Source organism: Homo sapiens, chromosome 7 (assembly GCF_000001405.40).
Source record: "Homo sapiens chromosome 7, GRCh38.p14 Primary Assembly".
NCBI classification, from domain to species: domain Eukaryota; kingdom Metazoa; phylum Chordata; class Mammalia; order Primates; family Hominidae; genus Homo; species Homo sapiens.
Genome location: NC_000007.14, coordinates 132,148,139 through 132,173,249, shown reverse-complemented (window position 1 = coordinate 132,173,249; position 25,111 = coordinate 132,148,139). Strand labels below are relative to the sequence as shown.

General features: G+C 50.6%; 1 protein-coding gene across 7 annotated transcripts in view, besides 1 other annotated feature; it reads left to right on the top strand.

Moving 5' to 3' along the window:
• Nucleotides 1–25,111, top strand: part of PLXNA4 (plexin A4) — a 525,349-nt gene that overhangs the window by 475,439 nt on the left and 24,799 nt on the right. For 5 of the 7 annotated variants that reach the window (NM_001393897.1, XM_017012779.1, NM_020911.2 and 2 more), the window contains 5 exons: nt 4,678–4,946; nt 8,050–8,116; nt 8,962–9,108; nt 13,618–13,777; nt 24,604–24,707. In NM_001393897.1, the coding sequence (NP_001380826.1) occupies nt 4,678–4,946; nt 8,050–8,116; nt 8,962–9,108; nt 13,618–13,777; nt 24,604–24,707 (747 nt within the window). The other 2 variants (XR_927546.3, XM_011516676.3) reach the window with 2 other exon arrangements.
• Nucleotides 16,715–17,215: an enhancer, noted in NCBI's record as "H3K4me1 hESC enhancer chr7:131840794-131841294 (GRCh37/hg19 assembly coordinates)". NCBI's record gives its function as "activates a minimal SCP1, AML or CMV promoter by ChIP-STARR-seq in naive H9 embryonic stem cells {active_cell/tissue: H9 hESC(naive)}" and the evidence as "EXISTENCE:reporter gene assay evidence [ECO:0000049][PMID:30033119]".

Here is a 25,111-nt window from a genome sequence, read left to right as displayed (position 1 = left end):
CCTTTTATTTTTCTCCAGCCTCACCTTCGTTTGCTTCAAATTACCAGGATTCTCTTAGGGCCCTGGAGAGTATACAAATTCCTGTTTAAAGTGAGACACAAGAGGGACAAGAAGATAAGACCATTGTGTGCACGTGTGTGTGTATGATTGGATGTGTAGACTGTGCATGTACCTTATTTATCTTTGTAGTTCTAACTTCCAGCAGAGTAGAGTGCCTGGCACATAATGGGCATGTGGGAAGTGGTAAATGATTGAATAAATGAATATCTGTGTGTTTGGCTGAATTAAGGTGGAAACGGGGGTTGTAGGACGGGAAATTATGTCTGAACATTCCCATATTACTCTGTGGATGGGATGGAGAATAATTTAAATAAGAATGCAATGAGGATGAGTATATAAAGTTATTCTCCTTTCTTCATGAGTTCAAAATTCCAAATCTAAGTAGGTTTCCTTTAAAGATGTAACTTTATTATTATTATTATTATTATTATACTTTAAGTTTTAGGGTACATGTGCACAATGTGCAGGTTAGTTACATATGTTTAAGTTGGATTTTCTGAGAACTTTTACTGGCCCGCATTAGCCGGGGGCTATGTGAGATCCAGCCTTCTATGTGAAATCGAGGGATTGTGTGTGGATCACTGTTTTTCTTATTTGCTTTTTTTCCAACCCCTTCTTGCCCCTGGAGTAGTTTCTCCCCCTTGGTGTTCTAAGTATGGAAACAAGCCATTGATTAATCCAAACCAGTGTTTCCCAGCCCTTTCAGCCACTGGGGTTCCTGCTTACCTCTGGAAGTGTGAAGAAGGAGGTGTCCTCTTGCTTCAGGCTGTCCTGGAGGGGAGGTCACCCAGCCCCCTCAAGTGGGGCTCTCTGGGTTAAGTCCAGGCCTTCAAGAAAGGTGCTTCCCAGGCACTGGTCATGTACCAACCTTTTAAAACACAGAGCAGTCAATCTCCCAATTTCAGTCTATCATTGGCTCCTAAACTCTAACCTATTGGGTTACAATTAAAATTTACTATCCAGTTTTATACTCACAGACTTCAACTAAATTAGAGAACCATCTGGTGAATAAAGAAAGTCTTGTTTCAGAGTAGCATTTGCTTGGGCTGGGGAGGGTGGCAGGCAACAGTGAGGAACTGTTTTGGACACTCCTGACCAAGACACTTCACTTCCATCTCCTTCCTTCATAAAGTGGGGAGAAAATTCCTACCTCCCACACCCCAAAACACCACCCTGATGCACTAGATGTCTGGGAAACTCTTGGAGGAAAGGGATCCCTGGAAAGCAGTCCAGGGAGTCTGAAAGGCAGGTAATAAAACTGTTGCCGTTTAAGTGTGCACGGTGCATGCCAAGCACTTTACATACATTATCTTATTTAATGTTCATAAAACATTATGACATAGACACTCATATTCTCATTTTACAGACGAGGCAATAGAGCCCAGAGGTGATGGAGTTTTCCTCCACCTACGAGTCACTGTGGTCTCTCTGCTTCTAAGACCCATGCTGCTGAATAGGATGCTATTTCACTGTAGGTGGCTTTGCTAAAATCTTCCTTCCCAGGGCCCCAGACCTGCTTCCCAGGAGGCATATGCATTTTGCACACAGAGAAGGGGCAGCCTCGCAAGAATCCCAGAGTGGATCCTCACACCAAGTGTGCTATCTAGCCAACCCATGTCCTCTTCCACCTCTCTAAATGCCATAGTGCTAAACCTTCTGGTGACTGCCCTCCCTTAGCCGGCCAGTCTGAGCTGGTGGGAGGCCCTGCACGGGAAGGCTTTAGAGAGACATCCGAGTTGGCTTTCAGACAACTCTCAAGCCCAGGGGTAGGGCTAGATATGGTGAAAGATGGGGAGGACGAACGGGCACTTGGGAGCCAAACAAGTTTGGGTTTCATAATCCAGCACTGCCTGTCATGAGATAGGCTGCCTTGGAATAGCTGCAATAGCTTCTCTGAGAGATTGTTAACTCAGTTTTGCAAGATCATTAGAAGGCCTCATTGAAACAATGTGTGTAATGTGCCAGGCACTGTGCATTGCACATGGTGGATGCCCAAGAAATGACATTATCTACTATTATTAGAACAAGTCATAGAACTGCTCTTCTGAGTAATTTGAAGGACAGCGGCATGTATGTGATGGGGGTGGTCACAGAGTTGGAAGACAGATAAATGGGCAGATTGAGGCCCGGGCTGATGGCAAGGTAAAGTTGTCCTTCCCTCATCAGCCCCCAGTGGTGGGGAGAACTGGGGGAGGCAGGCACGAAGAAAGCAGAGGCTAGTCCCACCTCCGGAGGTGAGGGGTTTGCCAGCAGGGGCTGTGGCCTGCTGTAGCCTGTTTATCTCTAGCTGTTCCCATTTGTCTCCTGAGAACTGGCCCTCCAAGGACCAGCACCACAGTGAGAGAAATGAAAATGGACCTGATTTGGAAACACACACGTTTCCTACAGCTTCCAGACCCATAGGAGCTACTGATGACGGGCTAGTTGGAGGTTTCAATGACAGCCCTTCTGTGCAAGGTGCAGGGCTGGCTCACAGAGCTCCGCTATGGAAGGGATCTCAGGGCTCTCTGGGGCTGGCCTCCTGGTTGAACTTCTCAGGACAGGGCCTGGATCTGACTGAACCCGGCCTCCTGCCAGTGCCTTGCCCTGAGCCTGGAACACAGGGTATTGGTAATGAGGATCATGAATGTTCTGCCACCCTCTGCGACTTTGGTTAAAGAAGGCTTTCTCTGGCCATCTCCATTTTTCCCAGTTTAAAACCTCAAGAGTAGAGCAGGAGGATGTAGCTGCTGTTTAGGAGCTGGGATGTGCATCAGCTTTTCATACCCCCTCTCCTTTCAGTTTACATCATGGTCCCTGGAGATGGCAGAAAGAAGTGCCAAGTGCCGGGATTTATGACCTCCTTCCACCCTTCTGTGTCTTGGGGCTTTGTGAAGCTCCTTATCCTCACAGGGTCCCTCATGGGGATTATAACAAACCTACCTTTTTGGTGCTGTGTGCATTAAGTGGGTCAGTATTTCTAAAGCACACAGAATGGCAGTATGGACTTAGATCTATATCAGTATTAGCTATCATTATGTTCATTTTGCTGGTGAAGAAACTGAGTCACTAAGGGCCCTAGGAAATGACTGTGACAGAATTAAACCCAAGCATGACCGACTCTGAAACCAGGCTCGTTACTGCTGTATACATGACACTCCTTCTCAAAGAACTGTGGTATCCACCCCCTTGGGGAGACAGAGCCCTCAAGACGTGACTCCGAAGTTACCTCCCCAGGCCGTCCCTCCCACTCCCTGCCTCCTCCAGTGCCCCACTTCAGGAGACACACCCTGCAGTGTTCTCAGAAGCTCCCCCTTGGGGGCAGATCCTATAGCTGACTTTTTAAGTACGTCTTTTGGTTTAACAGAAGCATGCATACAAATCACGCACAAATTGTCAGCGTGCAGCTCGATGACTTTTCCCCAAGTGAACATGCCCATCAAGCCAGCACCCCTCAAGCCAGCACCAAGCAGAACATGGCCAGTCCCCCAGGAGTCCCGGGGTGCCCCCTTTTAGTTACAGCCATCCCCTAGAGCAGTCATTTCTCTACAACCATTGATTAATTTTATCTGCTTTTAAAATATTTATTTAAATGGTATTCTATGAAGACTATGCCCTCTTTAGCATCTGGCTTTTTTCATTCAGTACATTTGCAGGACCCATCCTGTTATTGTGTGTAGCAATAGGTCATTCATTCTCATTGCTGTGTGGTATCCATTGGGTGGAATACACCACAATTCCTCCACCTGTTCTCTTGTTGCTGGACATCTGAGTGTTTCCAGTTTGGAGCTGTGACTGACAGGATTGCAATGCACACCCCTGGACATCTCAGAGGTGGGCCTTCCACACCTACCTGAGTCATTGACTCGTGTTTGCTGAGTGAATGGTACACCCTTGCAGAGATCTCCCAATGAACAGACAATGGAGGCAGAAAGATAAGACCATCTTCTTCCTCTTCCCCTGCATAGAGCAGGGTCTTAGAGAGAGTCCCTAAGAAAACAGCAAATGCTAGAGTTAGGAAGTTCTTTAGAGACTCTTGGGCTCAATCTTCCCTTTTTATCATGTGGATAAACTTGGGCCCCCAGAGAAGGAAAGAGACTTACCCAGAGTTACCCAGCAAGGTGGTATCAGAATCCACGTGGAACCCAGATGTCCTGACTCCGAGGCCACTGGTGTATCAACAGCACCCCTAGGGCTGGAGAGGGGTGGGCATTAGGTTAGTCCCAGGCTCAGGGATGGGGATTCTCAGGGTGTAAACCACGACAGCCCTGGGCACCTGGAATTCCCCACAGGGACTGTGAGGTGCTCTGCCATGACACAGGGGCCCTCATCAACTCTGCGTCACCATCAGGGAAGAGCTCTGGAGTCCGGCAGAAGTGAGTGCCATCCTAGCCCCGCCATTTACTAACCATGTGATGCTCTCTCTGTGCTTCAATTGATTCATCTCTAAACTAGAGGCTGCGATGGAGGTTAATCAGATACTTAACTCAGTGCTAAGGGCTTGACAGCATTAGCCAGGTGGACTGTGGCTTAATTGGTGGATGAGAGGGTCATGGATATGGGCACAGCCATCCCGTGGGGAGGTCACTGAGCTCCCCAACCTGCCAATGGCATCACGACTCCTAGGTCTCTCTGCAGGTCCCGGGCTACCGGCAGGAGCGTGTGGAGAAAGGCCTGAAGCTCTTCGCCCAGCTCATCAACAACAAGGTGTTCCTGCTGTCCTTCATCCGCACGCTTGAGTCCCAGCGTAGCTTCTCCATGCGCGACCGTGGCAACGTGGCCTCACTCATCATGACCGTGCTGCAGAGCAAGCTGGAGTACGCCACTGATGTGCTGAAGCAGCTGCTGGCCGACCTCATTGACAAGAACCTGGAGAGCAAGAACCACCCTAAGCTGCTGCTCAGGAGGTGAGGGTGCAGTCTGGGGCACCCTGCTCCAGCCTAGCCATGCACCTGGCTCACCGTGCCTTGCAGGGAGACTCGGGTGGAGCTCCTAGGAGAGCAGCCATGTTCCCAAGTTCAAGTCACTAACTAGCCCAGAGCCAGGACTACATTGCAGGCCCCCTTAGAAGAACCTGTCCACTGTCCTCAGGAGTCAAGGATGCATGGACTTGTTGGCTCACCCTCTTGTTCTCTTGCCCCTTTGTCGAATCTCCATTTTTCCTTCTCTGCCCTTCTACTTAATCTTGACCCTGTCTACTGCAATCTCCTCTCATGGAATCTTCAGAGGTCACTTAGACCATCCTCTGGCCTTATCTGAGTCCAAAGTTGGACTAGGAGAGAAGACCTGTGGCCTCATGCCATCAGGTGGCAGAGGACAGCATCGGGAGCACACTGGAGCTTGTTAGAAAAGCAGAATCACAAGCCAGGTGCAGTGGCTCATGCCTGTGATCCCAACAATTTGGGAGACCAAGGCAGGAGGATCTCTTGAGGCCAGGAGTTCAAGACCAGCCTGGACAACATAGCAGGCAACATAGACCTCATCTCTACAAGAATAAAATATAAAAATTAGCTATGCATGATGGTGCACACCTGTAAAGTTCCAGCTACTCTGGAGGCTGGGATAGGAGGATCCTTTAAGCCCTGGAGTTTGAGGCTGTAGTGAGCCATGATCTCACCACTGCACTCCAGCCTGGGCAACAGAGCAAGACCCTGTCGCTAAAAAAAAATTAAAAAATAAATAAATAAATGCAGAATTTCAGGCCCTCCCAGACCCGCTGAATCAGAACCTGCATTTTAGTGAGGAACCCAGTTTATCCCAATCCATATTAAAGTTTGAGAAGCACTGAAGGAAAGTCCTTTGGTGATGTCTCACCCAGCACAGCCCAGCAAGTGTTTCCTCGCACCTGCTGTAGGCTGTAAATGGGCCCAGAGTCCACCACTCAACACCCTGGAGGCCTCAAACTTGATACTGTTGAAACCTTAAAGGTCCTGTGTGAAGACATAACCTTATCCTATGACTTTCGCCTTATAGGAATTAGAAACTCTCTCACTCTACCAGTGCTTCTGTTTGAACTTTTTGTGTACTCGAAGGCCATTTCTCCTCTAGGCCATTATTCCAATACCTTTGGCCTTGGCATATCTGAAGTTAGAAAACTCCCACGTCATGTCATTATGTCCAGCCCTCTGCCTAGACCACTCATGTGCTGTCTGCCTGCTGTCTGCCTGTCCCCCAGACTTCCATCTTTGGTCTTTGGGTCTCAGGCTGAGCTTCAGTGGCTCCCACTTGGTCCAGCAGATAGATTTGGCTTTCAGAAGTGTTTACTTCAGGGTTTTTCCTGGAGCAGTGGGCATTTGCCTGCACAGCTGCAAAAGTCTGCTGCATATAAGAGCCAGCAGACAGCTTTGGAAACAGCAAGGTAGATCATTTTGATTTTTGTTTTACTTTCACCACGCAGCCACCCACTGGCATAATTCTAGGGTTGCCACTGCCTGCCAGAGCTCCCACCGACAACTTTCTGGCGTGGTCTCGCTCTGCCTCTGTGTCTCCTCCCCTTGTTTTCCGTTCCTGTTCTCCTGGATGCTCTTGCTTCCTTCTGCCCTCCTTTCCTTTTCTTCTTCTTGCCCCCGGCTGCCCACCTCCTTTCAATGTTCCTTCTTCTTTTCTCTTACCAGCTTCATTTTGTGCCGGCAGCCTCCCAACTACCTTGGGATTTTAGTTATTAGCATTTTCTGGCAACTGCAACTTTAAACTCTATCCAGACATACCTGGATGGGCTAGTTTCTCTCTGGAGCTGGCCGCATGCTTAGTGCAAGTTTGAACGTAATTTGTTTTCTCTAAATGGATGCAACTGAAAATGTCCTTGGGCTGACTGCACTGCTGCTGCATCTTCACTTCCAAAGTAAAAGAGTAGATGGGCTTGTGTTGTAGCATGAAAGATGCAAGTTAGACTCAAGAATGAACTTTCTGTCATTGCAAATGAAACTCTAGAAGGGCTCCCAAGGGAAGTTCCAAAGGATGTGGAATCTTTTGCCATAGGACAGTTTCTTGTTTGTTTCTTTGTTCGTTTGTTTTTGAGACGGAGTCTCACTCTGTCGCCAGGCTGGAGTGCAGTGGCAAGATCTTGGCTCACTGCAACCTCCACCTCCTGGGTTCAAGCGATTCTCCTGCCTCAGCCTCCCAAGTAGCTGGGGTTACAGGCACGTGCCACCACGCCCAGCTAATTTTTGTGTTTTTAGTAGAGAGGGGGTTTCACCATGTTGGCCAGGATGGTCTTGATCTGTTGACCTCATGATCTGCCTGCCTTGGCCTCCTAAAGTGCTGGGATTACAGGCAAGAGCCACCGTGCCCAGCCGCAATAGGACAGTTTTAACACGGCTTGGGCTGAGCTGGGTATATGGCTTTATGCTGCGGCGAATGCTGGGAGCCTTTAGCTGAGGCTGTGGACTCAGTTTGGCCATCTGACCTTCTGACATGGAACCCTTCTCCTGCCACCTTTATTCCTATTCCCTGCCAAATTGGTACCTCCCCAGGATTTGGGATTTTTTTTTTTCACCCAAAAGAACACAACTAGCCTATAAAGTTCTCTAAGGTTATACTATCTAATAGGATAGCTATGAGCCACATGTGACTATTTAAATCTAAATTAGTTAAAAATAAATACAAGTTCAGTGTCAGTTCCTCAGACATGCTGCCACATTTTAAGTGCTCAGTAGCTATGTGTGGCCGGTGGTTGCCATATTAGATGGCACAGGTAGAGAAAATTTTCATCATCACAGAACGTGCAATTGGACAGCGGTGCTCTAAGGCGTTCCAGCCAAAATCCCACCCACAGCCTGCTGCCCAAAATGTCATCTTCCAGCTTTGTAGGAAAAGCTTGTCTTACCATTATGGGGGCGTCTAGGAGTCCATGAAACTCTCATATTCATTAGGATCGCAAGGTTTGGCCTAAACGCTAGAAGCAGCAAGATCAATGCACAATTCCTCCCTTGCCCTTCCCAGCCCACGGGCTCTGACCAGCTGCTTCTTTCTTTGTCTTGTTCCGTTGGTTCCCTCGGTGACTGCTGACAGGACTGAGTCAGTGGCTGAGAAGATGCTGACCAATTGGTTTACTTTCCTCCTCTACAAGTTCCTCAAGGTAGGGTTGGATGTGGACGTATTTCTGGCCTTGCCTCGTTCATTCTCTGCAGCCTGACTGGGGATCGCTCCACACCCCCGAGTCCTCCCTTACTGGGCCTGGCTCTTATAACCCCACAAGAAATGGAATTCATCCTTATCATGGACTGTCTAGGAAGACAGAGGCCTGCAGTCCATCATAGCTCCAAAGACACAGTCTTCCCAAGGCTAGTTTCCTACTGCCGGGCAAGGGATAGATGAGCCCTGAGAGGCCCTGCATGGTCCCTAAAGCTGAATCCTCCTTTGAAGTTAAAAACAATTTGCCCATTATTTCTCTGCTTTTCCTCTTCCCTCTCCCAGCCCCAGACTTACTGAGGCTGATAAGGCCCCCCGGCCGGTGCAGAAGCCGCATGTTGCGGCAGATAAGCCAAGGATGCGCCTGGGAGGTGGAAGAGGCTCAGCTTCCAATTATTAACTTATGTTCTAAGGAGTTCTTGCCACCCAGGACTGACCTCTGCCTTTGGATGGGGCCTCTGAGAGAGCGGGGTGAGGTGGGGAGGGAGAGCAGAGAGGAGGGCAGGAGGGGAGGGGAGCGGGGGAGGAAGAAAGAGCCCTGGAGAGGCGGCAGTAGGAAAGGAGAAATGGGTAGAATGGGAAAAGACCCTGTGGTCCAAAGAGCCAGGAGGAATGCCAGCCTGAAGGATGAGGAGATGGAGAGAAGGAGATTGAAGAGCTGAGTATAAAAGCAGGTGGGGGCAGGTGCAGGGACTTGGCAGGGGATGGAAGCAGCCCTTTGGAGAAGCAGGGACTGGGGGTACACTCCAGTGTTCCAAGAGCTCCTCCTAATGACGTTCTTCTCACCTCCAGGAGTGTGCTGGGGAGCCCCTCTTCTCCCTGTTCTGTGCCATCAAGCAGCAGATGGAGAAGGGCCCCATTGACGCCATCACGGGCGAGGCCCGCTACTCCTTGAGCGAGGACAAGCTCATCCGCCAGCAGATTGACTACAAAACCCTGGTGAGCCCACCCATCTGTTTCCCCTGGGGCTTTGACAGGCGGGCTTCCATCCTGGGTAGCCCTGCTCAGCAGTGGAGATGGCTGAAAGGCTGAACAGCTGCCTCTCCAGGTGTGTCTGCTGTGTGGGCCCAGCCAGGTGCTCCCGCTGTGTCCATCACCCCAGACTTCCTCTGTTCTGTTTCACCAGGGCATTTGGATTTGGGGACCAGTAGCTCAGACACATTTGAGTGACACTTCAGCCAATGAACTGGGGGTTTCTGACCACACCAGTTATAGGGTCAAAGCCCTTGACCCAGGTGAACTCTTCTGTCCTCCCAGCTTAGAGTCAACGCTTTACAGAAGAGGTCCGTGCAGGCAGAGAGTGGGGGACAGAGAGGAAAGGAAGCTAGAAAGAGTTACTCATAGCTCTGAAGCCCCCACTGCCTTCTGCTCTAAGTTCAAATACAACTGTGACCCAAGCTGTATAACGCAAGGCCAAGGTGGCCTAGTGGTGCAAGGCAGTTGTTGAAGGAACGTGGGGATCCCCTCCATCAAGGTCAGGCTCCCTCACCTGACAAAAACAGCTACCCTAGGAGGCACCAAGGCTTAGCATTCAAGAGCATGGCCTTTGGGATCAGACAGACCTGGATTTGAGCCCTGGCTCTGCCTTCGACCAACAGGGTGAATTGGGGCAGGTTCCTAATCTCTCTGAATTTGGGTCTCTTTATCTGAAAAAATGAGAACACCAACAGAACCGACTAAAGTGGGGATAATCATAGTTGCTCAGAGTGAAGTTGTGCAGAGGATCAGATGGGACAAGATGAACAGGCAGTGAAGCCCGCGTCATACTCATGCACTAGTGCTTGGTCACGCAGGCCCCGCTTGCCTCTCCCCACTGTCACCGTGCGTCCACTCGCTGCTCACTGTCCTTTCAAACCCAGGGAGCTCACTCTCGGGATTTTTTGGAGATCACAGTGATCTCCAACCAGCCCTTTTTCTCTGAGAAAGAGAGGACTTGGAAGGAGGGAGTATGAAAAGATAAAAGCTGAGTGTTGGGGGTGATATGCAAGTGGCACCCAAGAATGGAGGCAAGAGAGACAGAAGGGAACGAGGAGGACGGGGAACAGACTGAAGTTCAAACGCAGCGGTCGGGAGAGGGAGCCACAGCAGGCTGGGGCATTGTAGTACTGGGAGGGAGTGTGATTCTCAGACAACCCCTCCAACTGCTCTGAGCTGAGGGCAAATTCCAGAGCCTGTGGCTAGCTGGGGAGACAGTTCCCACCTCTGAACAAAGCCATCCCTGCTGGCTGGGAAGGCTGTGACCATGATCCACCTATCCCACTCTCATTTTCCAAAAGCCCCGGGAATCCCAGTAGACGTCTGAACAGATTTGTGGGGATTGGCTCCGTTATGAAGATTCAAAGGAGCAGCCTGTGAATGAGGCCCCTGCTTTCTGGCAGTTACCGTCTGCTTGGAAGGAGAGAGAGAGAGGCTCCGATTAAAATGGAAAAGAGGGGGAAAACCCTTCCAAAAATAGAGACCTGAATGGATTTCTTAATGAGATAGAAGTACTGCGTAAATGTCTTCCACCCTGTCTCCCCCGTTCCACTCCCTTTCTTTCCTGTCTCCTCAGCACCCTCCCAATATTGAATCCAACACAATCAGTTGTAATAATGTTCTGTCCCCAAATTGCAACATCCTTTGTTCCAGAGGCCACAGTACTGGTAGTGCACTGAGCTGATTTCAGGTGCCGCAACTTAAAGAGAATGTGAGGAAATTGGAGTGGTTCAGGGACCAGTATCCATTTAGGTGGGAACACTTGAGGACAGGAGCAGTGAGGAAAGAGGAAAGAAACTGCAATTGTTTTGCCTGGAGAAGAAACGGCCACAGGGAGCTTTAATAGCCACCTTCAGGCCTGGGGAAAGTATTTGCACATGTGCAGGGGAGCAGCCCCCTCAGGGTGTGGACAGATGGCAAGAAATCGTGCAGGACAGCAGCACACAGGGCGTGCAGACGAGTCCTGGAACTCGGCGGTGGCTGGAGGAGCCCAGAGTGCTATGGACCTGCTAAAAGTAGCCTTGTCTTGGGCAGGAGAGAGAACCACGGAGAGGCTCTAAGAGGCTTGGGGAGAAAGCGAGTGTACCACTTTGCAGTCAGGTGTGCCTCTAGGGGTTTAGTGATTTATTGGATTGATGCTGGAGCTTGGACTGGTGTGGCCAAGGACCATGCCAGTGGGAGCACCCTAGTACCAACATCAGCAACATCTGGGTGCAGAGTGCAAGATGCCTACCTAGAAGCCCACTAGAGCACTGGGTACCCACGTGGGAGCCTGGAACCAGGCAATGCTAGATGCCTACCTGGTAGCCTGTCAGAGCACTAAATGCCCACCTGGGAGCTTGCCAGAGCGCTAGGTGCCCGCCCGGGAGCCTGCCAGAGCGCTAGGTGCCCGCCCGGGAGCCTGCCAGGGTGCTAGGTGCCCGCCCGGGAGCCTGCTAGAGTTCTAGATGCGCACCTGGAAGCCTGCTAGAGCGCTAGATGCCCACCGGGGAACCTGGGAGCACTAGCTAGTTGCCTGGGAACCTGGAAAAATGCAGAATCTCAGGCCCCATCCCAGACCTCCTAGATCAGATTTTGTATCTCAACAAAGCCCCCAAGTGCTTCTATTCACATTAGCGTTTGAGAGGCACTTCCCTGGCAGAGAAATCATGAGGCAGCTTGTCCACAAACTAGCCAAGGAGCATGGAGGAAGGGAACCTGTGGGTGGAGCTCTAGCTTGGCCAGTGGCCAGGGGCTCTGTCCTTCTGTGGGGCCACTGCTTCCACTTTAGAACGCCAACTCCTGCCCTGAAGTGCACCATGGAGTTGTTCTCATGAGGCCACGCTGAATTCCTGCGGCAATTAGAAATGCCAGGGGATTACGTTTAGGTGGCAGCCTCTGCCCCATGGGTCCCTCAGAGGAGGAAGCCCAGGGCAAGCTGTGTTGCTGTCTTGGGAAGGCTGAGCTGCCCCACCAGGGCCCAGAGGACAGGACAGCAGGGGCTGCCAGAACAGCCCAAGGGTCAGGCTTTGCCTGGCTGCTGAGCAGAGGGAAGGGGCCAGAAGACTCTTAGAAGGAGGGGAGAGCTGGGAGGAGGCACACATGGAGCGCTTGAGGCAGCAGTCTCTCCACCATTGTTTTCAGGTTAGGGCATTTTGAGTGTGAAAGTTTGGTTTTATAGATTTCAGGGGTTTTTTTTTCTTCCCCTTCTTAATGGAATAAGCATGTTCGCATTTGAGCTCATAGCAGTCTAGTTGCTAATGAAAGGCAGGTGCCCAGAGCCCAGGGTTCTGATTGCCACCACATGCAGCAAGAAGGGGGTGGAGTGGGAGAGAGACTGCTGTCTGGCTCTGCAAACCAGATGGGACAATTGGGAAATGCTTATGGGGGCACAGAGGGAGTGAAAGTTCCGAGAAGGAGAGAGACACACAGAGGGCTCTCTGGCAGCAGGGCCCGAGGGAGAGTTCGGGAGCCCAGAAGGGGAGGGCCACTTGGCATCAGTACCCCTAGGATGCCCAGCCTCTCTGCCTTGGATCTTGTGCCCTCACTTACTCCAGTACGCACAGCACCCACCCCGTTCCCCTCCAGTCCACCCAGGAGCCCACACGGTGCCGTCGATGTAGAAAGATCCCACTGTGAGAACAGCAAGAGAAGAAAAGCCTTGTTCTTTTTAAAGGAAAAGCCCAGAACTTTTTAAAGGAAAAAAAATAAAAAGATAATTTGGTGAAGCAGTTTCAACTTTTCCTACTAGTTCCAAAAGGAGAAATGGAGGCCCTGAACTATGCAGTCGCCTCTTCCCCCAACACAGGGGCCCTATTCAGGGCCACGAAAGAATCTCAGGTGTCCTGAACCTGCAATCTTTAAAGGGCATCTTTTTATTTTTAAAGAATACATTAAGTGTCTTATAGATTTGCCAACCTCTAATCAGGTGAATGAAACCTTCATAAAAATTGAAGCTTGTGAAATATTTGGAGAAAGAAGCCAGATTCCTATTAGTTCTGTGTGTGTGTGTCCAAGAAGGAGTGACAAGAAGGAGACAGACAAACATGGATGGGCAGGGGGTTTCAGAAGTGGGCGAGGGTCTGGGTGTGCCGCTGAGACACTGCCTCCTGTATGCATGTGAGAGAGATAGCACGTGTGCATGCATGCACTGGTGTCTGTTCTGTTGCAAATTTCCCCTCACTGCTTCCACATGCTTGGGCATTGTCCCTTTGAAAAATCAGGATTTTAATGAAGTTTGTTCTGACAGGGAGTGAAGTGTGCAGCTCGCACTCCCTCAAGGACATTGAAGCCAAGGCATTGTCCTGCTTGCCTGGACAGGAAAGGGCAGTGGGCTTGGTGGGAGCACAGATGGCCTGGAGCCACCCTACTCCTCCCTAGCCCATCCTGGAGAGGATGAGCCATTCAGGACGGAATCCCAGGGTGCTGCTGGGGATCTAGGAGCTTTTCCTGCTACCCCATTTCATATGCTTCCTCTCCCCACCTTTCCTTCAGGTCCTGAGCTGTGTCAGCCCAGACAATGCCAACAGCCCCGAGGTCCCAGTAAAGATCCTCAACTGTGACACCATCACTCAGGTCAAGGAGAAGATTCTGGATGCCATCTTCAAGAATGTGCCTTGCTCCCACCGGCCCAAAGCTGCAGATATGGATCTGGGTGAGTAGGCTGTCCACCCAGGGGCTGTCCTTGTGGCTGCTCCTGAACACACCTCACCTTCTCCTGTCAGCAGAGGCAGGGCTGGGGTAGAGATCTGAGGGGAATAATCACTGGCTGGAGGGAGTCAGGCATGGCTGGACCCCCGCAGGAGCCCATGGGGTTGCCTTCCTGGCCTGCTTGGAATTGACCAGAGCTGGTCAGTGAACAGTTTGCAGAGAGGGGTCCACGGGCCACTTGGTAGTCTGTTGGTGATCTGCCTGGCAGGACATGCCTCTGGGGTCCTTTGAATAGCAGAGGGGTGGGAAATGAAGGAGTCATATCTGGAAAGAAGGGGATTTAAGGGCAGAGTCCGCTTGTCTGAGCTCCTGCGGCCCAAGGTCCTGCCACCGCCTCTGTTGTTGCCTGAGGCTCTTCCCTTCTGCTCAGTTCCATGCCTATAATTTTTGCTGAATACCTACAGCTTGAGGGATCTGGGTCAGTGATAGAGAATGGAGAGAAAGTATAGGGAAAATGAGATTTGAAAGCCTGCTGGAGAGAAGTCTGACATTTTAGCTGTTACATGAATATATCTCCCAGCCTCTATAAACAAGGGCATGCTGGTTAGGGCCACCTGTACTTAGAGCCAGTTATGGTTTGCATAAGCATTTCATAGGATGCCATCCTGGGGAAATCCTCATGGGGAGCCCCAGGATCTGAAGAGGCCAGTGGGGAAGAGAGGTGGTTCCAGCCTTGAGGGCCAGCATCAAACACATCTAGATTTGAGTCCTGGTGCCGTCAAGTCCTAGCTGTGTGTCCCTGGTCAAGTAACCTGTGTATGCCTTAGTTTCCTAGCTATAAATGGAGATAATCATAGTGCCTGCCTTGTAGTAAGAATTCAGTGAGATCATGCATGTAAAAGCGTCTTTAATGCAGTGTGTGATCCATTGTACACATTCAGTAAGTATTGGCTGCTGTCACTGATTATGAGGATAATACAAGGATACTGTCTGTGCCTGTTTGTTGATGCTGGCCATGGAGGGAGAAGCATTGATGTGTGTATGTGCTCGTATCTGGAGATTCCTGGTAACATAGTGGTGGGAGGACCCCTCAGACACCTCTAATCCATCCATCTGGCCTCTAAGCTGGCTTTGGCTAAGCCATCCAAGACAGACGGGCATCTATGCTATTTTCTAGAATCCAGAGGGAATTTTCATTGCCTCCCACTGCCTCACCCCACTCCCTCTGAATTCTGATGTCTAAAGAGTCTTAGGATCAGGAAGTTGTAGTAACTCCTCTAAATTCTCACTTCTTCATTTAACCCCATTTCCTCTCTCTTGGCTCTTGGCTGAAGGTGTTTGGCCCTGTGCTCTGAGCTTGGATATTGAGGGAGGGAGATTCGGTGAGCATGTGTCTCCCTCCACTGTGGAGGTGTCTCTGAGTATGCTGTTTCTGGGACACAGAGGAAGCCAATGTGTGATGGTGGTGGGGAGGGGTATGGGTGTGTGCTCACATGTGTGCCCTTAGAGCCAGACCAGACCTGTGTGTCTGTGTGCATTTGATTTGCTGCCATGAAGAGCCCACAGACTCATGGGGTGAGGAAACTGTTACGGCCCAGTGGGAGAGAGAACAGTTCCTGGAAGGAGGATTTTTGTGTTCCCCACGTCCAAACAATTGAGTGGAATACTCCTTAATGGGTTTTTCCAGGGAGAATTGAGTTTGGTAGTGGAACCAGCTAGCACCCACTGTTCCTTTGTTTCATCTGTGGGCCATATAGCAGGGGGCACCTTCAGCTTTGCAGGGTCCTTAATGCAATTCAGGTGGGAGGAGAGTCCAGACAGAGTGGGGCCAAGAGGGGGAGCTGTGATAGGAGCAGGCTCCTTCATGCTGGAAGCTGAGATTGCAAAGTTGTGCCAGAACACAGAAGGAGCACCTGCATGCAGCTGCATGAAGAGATGTGTGCTTCTGTGCTTAAGAATAGGTGATTTCCCATGGAGGGGCTCACAGAAGGCAGCCCCGTGAACTTTGTCCTGAGAGTCCCTTAAATCACTCCCTTAAAAAGCCTGGGAGTGCAAGCCCAGCAAGGCAAGTCTTTTATGGGATGCAAAGCCTCCTGAAGCCAGAGTTCTAGACTATCTGGAGTGGAAACAGCAGCAGACAAAGCAGGCACAGTCGCTCCTGCCACCCGCCATGATGAAAGGAAGCCCAAGAGCAGCTCTGCAACAAGGACCTGCCTGAGGGTGGCTGGTCTCCCCAGCCAGAGGCTGCACAAGCCAGAGAAAGGCTACCCGCTTCCCAGAGGAAACAGGTCTCCAGTGCTCACCATGAATGTTCAAGCTCCAGGCACCCAAACAAACAGAGAGGATCCCTCTGCCATCACATTTGCTGCTGGGCCACACTTGGAGGAATAAGATCCCCACACCAGGGACAGATAGCAGAGAGAAACAAAGAGAGGCCTGGGGCAGTTTGAACCTCAGGGCCCCCCTCTCACTGGGAAGGGGCATCACACTGAGCTGCTCAGCAACATCTCCCTGCTCAACCATGATGGGTGCTCTTCTGAGAAGTTCCCTTTTTTCCTTTTAAATCTAGAGTTTAGAGCTGCTTACAAAGCTCTAGGCTTCTTCTTACCAAAGCTAGATTGCATCGCAAGAAAAATGGGGCCTCCTCAGAGACCCAAATGCTTTTTCCACACTATTCAATCACAGCCCCCACAGGGAGAGAGAAGCAAGGCAAGTTGTTCCCATCATGTAGGTGAAAGTGCTTTGAAAGCCTAAGAGCAATTTACAAATGTAAGGTGTGACTATTTATGCCAAAGGGACGCATAGCACATTGGCACTCACTCAGCCCCATGGGCTGGACAGGACCAAGACAGCACAGCATGCCCCCCGACTTTCTCCCCGCACCCGCTGTGCTTTCTTCTCCCACTGCTGAGAGCATCCAGCAAAGGCTGCCTTCCCTCTCCTGATGCCCAGCCCCTGGCACGGCAGGAGCACCCATCCCAGGCCAGCTCCGCAAGAAGCAAAGACATTTTGCACCACCCCGTCATTGTCCCAAGTAAATCCAGCCCAACCCTCCCGGCTCTTGCTTGGCTTTTGGCTCCTGCCTGTCATCATCACTGTGGCCCCTGGCTTTGCCTAACTGCTCACTCCTGACATGTCTATTCATTGCTCCTCAGAGCTCAGACGAGCTCTCCCACTCCTCTCCCTCTACTCCCTCGCCAGACTTGTGCAGGCATTAAGGAGCCAAGATGGGAAACCGCGTTAGTAAGGATTCTCCAAAGAAATAGAAACAAGGGTTGTGTGCGTGTGTGCGTCTGTGTGTGTGTGTGTGTGTGTGTGTGTGTGTGTGTGTGTGTGTGTGTATGTCCAGAAACAGAGAGAGAGAGAGATTCATTTTAAAGAAGTGGTCATACGATTATGGAGGCTGGCAAGTCGAAAATCTGCAGGGTTGGCTGGCAGGCTGGAGACCCAGGGAGGAGGCAACATTGCAGTTCAAGTCTGAAGGCTGTCTGCTGGCAGAATTCCCACTTTCTCAAGGGAGGTCAGTCTTTTGTTCCAGTCAGGACTTCAACTGATTGGATGGGGCCCACCTACATTATGGAGAGAAATCTGCTTTATTCAAAATCCATCCTGATATAAATGTTAATTTCATAGAAAGACACCCTCACAGAAACATATCGAATAATGTGTGACCAAATATCTGGGTACTGTGGCCCAGCCAAGTTGACACGTAGAATTAACTATCCCAGAAACCGCAGGGCCCACCTTCACTGCAATGTGTTGGAAGCTGGGGAAGGACAGCGACCACAGCGGGAGGAGTTGGGACTGAGGCAGAGCTCTAAGGCACAGTGCCCAGGTAGCACTCCCCCTGCTACACGTGAGGCTGTCCCCACAACCAGGTTTAAAATGTCCCTTTCCACCCACAGGTATCTGGGCAGGGTAGGTACCTGTTTGCATCACTAAACTCTTCAACAAACACGAGAAGATCCTACCCTGTGGCCAGCTCTGTGCCAGGCTTGGGGGTGCCAAGGTGCCTAGGAGATGTTCCCCACTTCTTAGCAGACTAGCAGAGACAGGACATTTTTCTATCTGAACTAAGGAGCTTTTTTTCCTCCTCCCTTCACTCCTCAAGGGAAATCACTGGTGCCATTCTCTTCCCCTGCACAGATGGAGAATCTGCAGCTCAGTTCTCTGAGTTCTCACAGTGCCTGGGCCCAGGTTACACAGCAGGGAGGTGGAGAGAACTCCCATTCCGTTCACACGCAGTCTCCTCTGCGACCCATTTCCTCTCCCCTCTGCCACTGTCCGTGACCTCCAGAGGTTCCTGTAGTTTAATGCAAATGCTCTATCAATAGCCCCCAGAACTCCACCACCCTCTCTCTGTCTTGTGGCTCAAGTCGAGCAAGCTGAAAGGATATATTTTTTCAAATAAGTAATTCCTGTAGGCAATAAAAAGATACACTATCTTCTGAGTGAAATATAAAGAGTTCACAGCAGCTGTCTCCCCAGTTTGCATTTTCCTCTGCACCTGATGGGAAGGACAGATAAAGATAATGGGATTTTTCTTTATTTTTTATTTCACCTCCCTCTCTCCCTGGAAGGTGGAAATGTAACAAATTGGATTGTGAGTGTGTCTGTCCTTTGTGCTTGGTGCCTGGAGCAGGGCATCCGGCTGCCGGGCAGAGCTGCTGCGAGAGAGGTCAGAGCTAGCAATTTTCTCTTGGTGCCATGCATATGAGTGCCAGGGTCACCTTCCCTCCTTCCCACTGACACCACCTGCCCTCTAAACTCTTCTTTGACCCACCACACTGTCTGGAGCCATGCCAGAGCCCTGTGTTCCACATTCAAGAATATCTACTAAGTTCTAGCTTGTCTCTCTTAAATCAGGAAGCGGGGCTCAGCCTGCGTTTGCCTTTCGCTCTCTAGGCATCCCCAAATAGCAACAACTGACCAGTGCACAGCACTTTACAGTTTACAAAGATCTAGTACCTTCAGTGCAAATAATGCACTTCTATTCAGGAACTTCTTCTTTTAAGCACCAGGTGTCACACTTGCTGTCACAATAATTAAAAAAAAAAAAAAAACAGAACGTTTTTAGATGTCACCCCTCCTGCTCCCAGGTGAATTTTCTGACCTTTTTAGCAGATACACTCTGATCTTCTCTTGGCTCTCCCAGCTCTTCTCCGGTGCCTGCTCCCAGCACTTCAGCGTGGCCAGGTGTTGAAGGTCTCAGGGCTCCCTGTCAGGTGTTTCCTTGGGTTTCACCTGCTGACAGGCGTGCAGAGCCATAGAATCTTGTCTCCCCCTACAGCCTCCTTCTCAGCCCGGGGTTTGGAGGGTGGAGTGGGCCCTGTGCAGTGCTGGTGTGTGCTCCTAGTGAGAACCTGTTCACAGTGCCCCCAAGGTAAGAAAAGGTGGCAGGGGTGGAGGTCCAGGCATGTGGTCATGAAGGTGGTCCTGCGTGGACTGTGCAGGTCGATTTTGCTGGCTCTACCTAGCCTGGTTAGTGGCTCCTTCCACCCTTTCCTTTCTTCAGCAGCCCTTCCTGAAGCTTCCTGGGATGGGTCTGAGGAGAGATGATGATAGGAAGACTGGAAGTGGGGTTATTGCAAAGCCTGAAGGGTCCCCAGCCTGGTGGAAAAGGTGCATGTGCACATGTGTGTGTACATGTGTGGGTGCCCTTGGGCCCACCTGCATGTCTACACTGTGAGGGCCAGAACTATCAGGTGCTGTGCACCCTGGGGAGAGTTTGCCTCTCAGCATGGCACCTACTGGTAGGTAGGGGACTCTTCAAGAGCCAGGCCAGTGGGGTCCTCCATGCAAGCATCTCCTTCCAGGTTGGCCTGTGGAGGATCTCTTTCCTATCTATGCCTCAGCTTCCCACTGCCAATTACATGGATCTCCACACACTTGGAGGCAGGCCAGGGTCCCCCTACCTCTCCCCTTCCTAGAGACTCTACAGGCATGACCTGGCCATCTTCTGAGCATCCCTGAAACCCACACCCCTGCCCCACTACCTTCACTTAGGTCCTCGCTGCCACTTCTGCTTTGGACAAAGGTGGCCATCCCGACAGGGCTCATGCCTCTTTGCCCCTCTAATAATGCTCTCCTCTCCTTATCCCCTCCCCGCTCTGTCTCCCTGGCCTCAGCTCAGCTCCAGACACCTTGGCATGGCATGCTGGATCTTTCTTAACTTAGCTCCTGACCTCCCTACACCTCTCCAGCCTCTCAACTTTCTCCTGCTCAGACTCATCGATCCCTAGAACTACAACATGAGTGCCACCTTTGGACCAGAACACTTGTCCCCCTGGCCAGCCAGTGAACGCCTACTCATCCTTCACAATTTAACCTGGGCAGCCCTTTCCCACCAGCTCCCCATAGCTCCTCTTCCCTGTCTCACCCCTGCCCTGACCAGCAGGCTCTTGCACAGCCTCTCCACACAAGGAGTCTTCAAGGGCAAGGGCTTATGTTTTATCCCGTTTCCCTGTTTAACTACCTCTCATGCCCAGTTGGCCATGCCCAGCACACTGGGGGCACATGGCAAGTGTTCTTTGATGAATGAGTGAGCGTGGAGCTGCAACACCTCCTGGACCTGGATTCTCACCACAGAGACTGCAGGAGATGCATCTTGTGAGATGGGACTGTAGGTGTCCTCTTTTGTAGGAGAAGGTGTTTGTGAGGAGTCACTCTGCCCCAGGATTTGCTACAGCTCTCTCTGAGCTCAGCATCTCATAGCATTTGATGCCTGGGAGGTATTTTCCAGCTTCTCACTGTGCCCCACAGGCAGGCAAAAAATGCCCAAGAGGCTCAGCCTTCACGGGAGGATGCTGGCCATTGGCTGAGCTACGACATTGCCTCTTGGCTGTCCTAATGTGGTCACCTCCTACGGAGCAAGGTAGAGACTCAAAAGAGAGATATTTTTAGTGACATTTTTTATAGGCAAGACAGAAGGAGCCCATCTGGTGAAAAGAGGGCTGGATCAAGCACTGGGGGACCTGGGTTCTATTTATTTTCATTACTGTTATTAAAACTAAGCACACACTGAATATGCAACACAGCACAAAATTAGATACCGCCCTCACAGAGGGCCTCCTGAGGCTGATTCAGCCAGTCGTGCACACCGTGAGGGGACCAGGGTGCTGGCCTTCATATCTAAGGTGGCAGGGCTGTCTCATCCTCAGCTGACTCAACCTGACCTTGGGATCTTTACTTCTGGGGTGGGGATGAGATTTTATGAGCCCAGCCATGCAGCTTAGGAGAGGGCACTGTTCCTGGGCTAGAGGGAAGCCACCTGCGATGGTCTTTGACCTTGGCTTTTCCTGGCCCCTGCTTTACTCAGTAGAGCTCTATGGCTCAGATTTCTATTGAGAGAAGGTCAGGAAGTCGTGCAAGAGCGCTCCAGAAAGCTGAGCCCATGCCCACTATCTGATCTTCTTGAGACATTCCGTGATGAGCCTAGGGAAAATAGAGACCATAACTGGCCTGAAGAAGGGGTTTCAGGAAAGGAAGGAGGGCAGGTAAGTATGGAAGTGAAAGTGGGTTCTGGCCAACAGGGTAAAAGTAAGGAATTTGGGTAGAGAAGAGTGACATTAAGGAGTGGCTTTCCTTGTCAGCCTACTTGAATTATTCTGTGCCAGGGAATGTGGGGCTGCCCGCCAGTTATACTCCACCCTCTCTCCTCCATTCTGGGTTCAGCTGGGTAGGCTTCTTGTGATCCTTGCTTCTTTCCTGAAAGCCTCAGGGATGGAGCTGCCCACACCAGCTGCCCGTCAGTCTGGGCTCTCTTTCATCAGGACTAAGTTGTAGATGCTACAAAACAACAATTTCAACTACTACTTTCTTCTTCTTCCTCTTCTTCCTCTCCTTCCTCTCCTTCCCCTTCTCCCCCTCCCTCTCCCTCTCCTCCTTTCTCCTCCTCCTTTCTCCTCCTCCTCCTTTCTCCTCCTCCTCCTTTCTCCTCCTCCTCCTTTCTCCTCCTCCTCCTTTCTCCTCCTCCTCCTCCTTCTTCTTCCTCCTCCTCCTCCTTTCTCCTCCTCCTCCTCCTTCTTCTTCCTCCTCCTCCTCCTTCCTCCTCCTCCTCCTCCTCCTTCCTCCTCCTCCTCCTCCTTTCTCCTCCTCCTCCTCCTTTCTCCTCCTCCTCCTTCTTCTTCCTCCTCCTCCTCCTTCTTCTTCCTCCTCCTCCTCCTTCTTCCTCCTCCTTCTTCTTCCTCCTCCTCCTCCTTCTTCTTCCTCCTCCTCCTTCTTCTTCCTCTTCATCCTCTTCTCCTCTTTTTCCTCTTCGTCTTCTTCCTTCTCTTCTTCTTTCTCCTTTCTTCTTATTCTTTCACCTTTCTGATATTTCAGAAAAAAAGCACATAGCAATTTTTTTCTGTCTAGGACATAACAAAATAATAGGCTTGAGAGATCTAAAAGCAAGCTAAGTGTACTCCTTGATTCCAGCCCCCTCTCTCCATATTGGCTTTTGGGAAAACATTCCTGACTTTTTGAGATAATTCCCAAGGAGACATGACCATGCTCTACCCAGTCTTTTTGGATAGGGGCATGGAGGTAGGTGGACTCTCATTCTCATAATTTCCGGGCATGACTCAGCCAGGGTTGTTGAGTATGGCCGCCCAGGCTGTGCACTGCACAGCTCTAAGGGGAATTGTGCATCATGGTGGAAGACCTGCCCTGGAGCCCAGAATCAGTCACCAACTGTCATTGCCTAGTTGGCCAGGCCATGTGGTTTATTCATTCAGATGCTCCTGAGATGTGCTACAATTCTTTATCAGCAAGCAGTGCCCTTGCAGTTGCTAAGCTAGAGGGCTGTCTCTCCACTGGCACCTTCTCCTTCTAGTCCTAGCAAGCCCCATGGTCACTTCAGTGGAGGAGACTCCCTTGGGCCCAGCCAGAGGACTTAGTGTCCAGAGCTGAGTTCATTGCATCCCTCTCCCTACCCTAAATATGAGGAAAGCAGAATGCTGGCTCCTTTTTTTTGTTGTGCCCCAAAGCTGTTCCTCCACCCCTATGTAGCCTCTGACTTAACCAGGTGCCACTCACCATGCAAGTGGGGGAGGCTCACTGCCGTATACTCCCCAACCCAGACTGGTGTCCACCAGCATCCAACTGCACAGCACATCAGCTGTCTGGCCAGCTTGGAGAGATTCCTCTTCCTTTGCTCCAACCACTCAAAAGTGCATGCATGCATACCTCCATAAAATAAAAAACAAAACAAAAAAACTGAAGAAAAAAACAACACAATAACAAGCAAAAACGCTAGTGACCAGATACCTCAGTGAGGCATTTTCCCCTTTGCCTATTAGTCTAACCACCCCAGACCATAATCACCATGAGCAATCCCAGCTGTGACATCCACAGGACTAAGGGATGGATGGTCCCCAGAGACTTCTTGCTCCAGTGAACAAGCATGTAGTCCCTATGCTTTCATTCCTTTGACCACCTGACATGATGCTAAGCTGTAAATCAGGCAGCAGGGAAGCCCCAGGGACTGGAGCCCCAGGGACTGGAGGCAAGGGGCTTAGATTTTAGGAGCATCTCTGCTATTCCAAAGGGCATGCCATCTGTGAAATGGGGTTGGCAGCACAGACCACAACAAATACACAATGCAGGGAGGAATTGGTGCTCTCTGCCACAAATGTGGCTGGTCATGGACCAGCCTTGGCAGGAGGGAAACGAGGAAGAGAATCTGAACATGTGGCTCTGTGAGACATAGGAAGAAATCCCTGGTGGGTCAAGCAGTGACTGCCAGGCCACTTAATCCAGCAACTAACGACACTCTGAACGAGCCCAGCATTCTTTGCACATTTCAGAAGTATCAGCATCTGAGAGGCATTGAGCAGGATCTGGGCTGCCTGGAAACCAAACGTCTGGCTTCTTGGCTGGAACACACGTTGCATTTGAATTTAAGAGGCTGTTTTTCCTTTCTGGTATATGTCCATGAGAATGGTATGTGTGGATGCGTGAGCTCATACATGTGTGTGCTGCATGAGTTTATGTGTGTCTGACATGCACATGGATTTTCATGTGTGTACATTTCGAGATAAGAATGTGCACTTCTCCACCTACACGTGATTTGTACCAAGTATGGTGGTGGGGATTTGGTTGATGAGAAACAGCCTCCCATTTCCATGTGTGATCCATCAGTAAGCCCATGTATTGTAGGTGTTTGGACCCGTGAGAATAATATGGGGATGTAAATATATCCTTGTAACATCAAACAATTAGGTGTTGGATAGATTACAACGTTGATATCATTTACATAAACTTTGCAGGGAATGGGATGTTCATGGGCGTGAGAATGGGTTTTGCTGATTTTTTCCACACTCTTTGACCCAATCTCCCTGACAAGGGTGACACACCTGCCAGTTTCACCCTGTAGGATACACCCCTGGAACAGGTCTGGGGCTGTTCAGTGACTGAGCCTACAGCCTTGATTTCATCAGCTCTAAGAGCTTCCAAACAAGTCACGCTACCACAACTATGCCACTTTGCATTTGCCTCATGCTTTGTCAAAGCTTAGTGTTTTATTATGTGCCTCTTTTGTTTGGCCAATACTTTTTGAGCACCTACTTTTTACAGATGTAGCCATTCACAGCAAGCAGATGGGCAAGGGTGGATAAGTGATGTTAGCCCCATTTTGGTCACATAGTTTGTTGGGCTTAGAACCAGAACTGGAACTCAGGGCCTCTCTGCGTTGAGAGCTTTGGCACTCCATTTTCGCAGGAGCATGTGCTAGCACTTGCAATGGACACACCCTTGAGCTAGCACTGCATAGGTACCTACACAGGGTCCTCAGCTTCCCCACAAGAGGGGTCATAGGGCCTCTCTGAAACGCCACCGCTCTTTTGGCAGAGTGGCGACAAGGAAGTGGGGCAAGGATGATCTTGCAGGATGAAGACATCACCACCAAGATTGAGAATGATTGGAAGCGACTGAACACACTGGCCCACTACCAGGTGAGGGGAATGTGGAAAGGGGAGGAGCTAGCCAACTACAAGTCCCTTGCCCTGGAAATCATTGCCCTGGAATAACAGGGGTAGACACCAAGCCCCTCACCAGCACTCCATGTTCCCTTAGTGATCCAGAGGAAATTGGTGTCTCCCAGCCAAGAAACCAGGAAACCCTGACCTCTTTGGAGATAGCATCCTGACATGCACACTTTCTGCAGGGCATGGGCAGAGTCCCCAGGGAAGGCTCTCCTGAGAAGTTCCTCTGGGCATTTAAGGCTGGGTCATCTTCCAGGGAAGCACTGGGATTGAGAATGCTAGGGAGGAGCTCTTGCCAGAAGTTACTCCAAGAGAAGCCACAAAACAGAATACTTGTCAGTATCCAGATCTGTGTCTTGTTCTGCTCCAAGGAA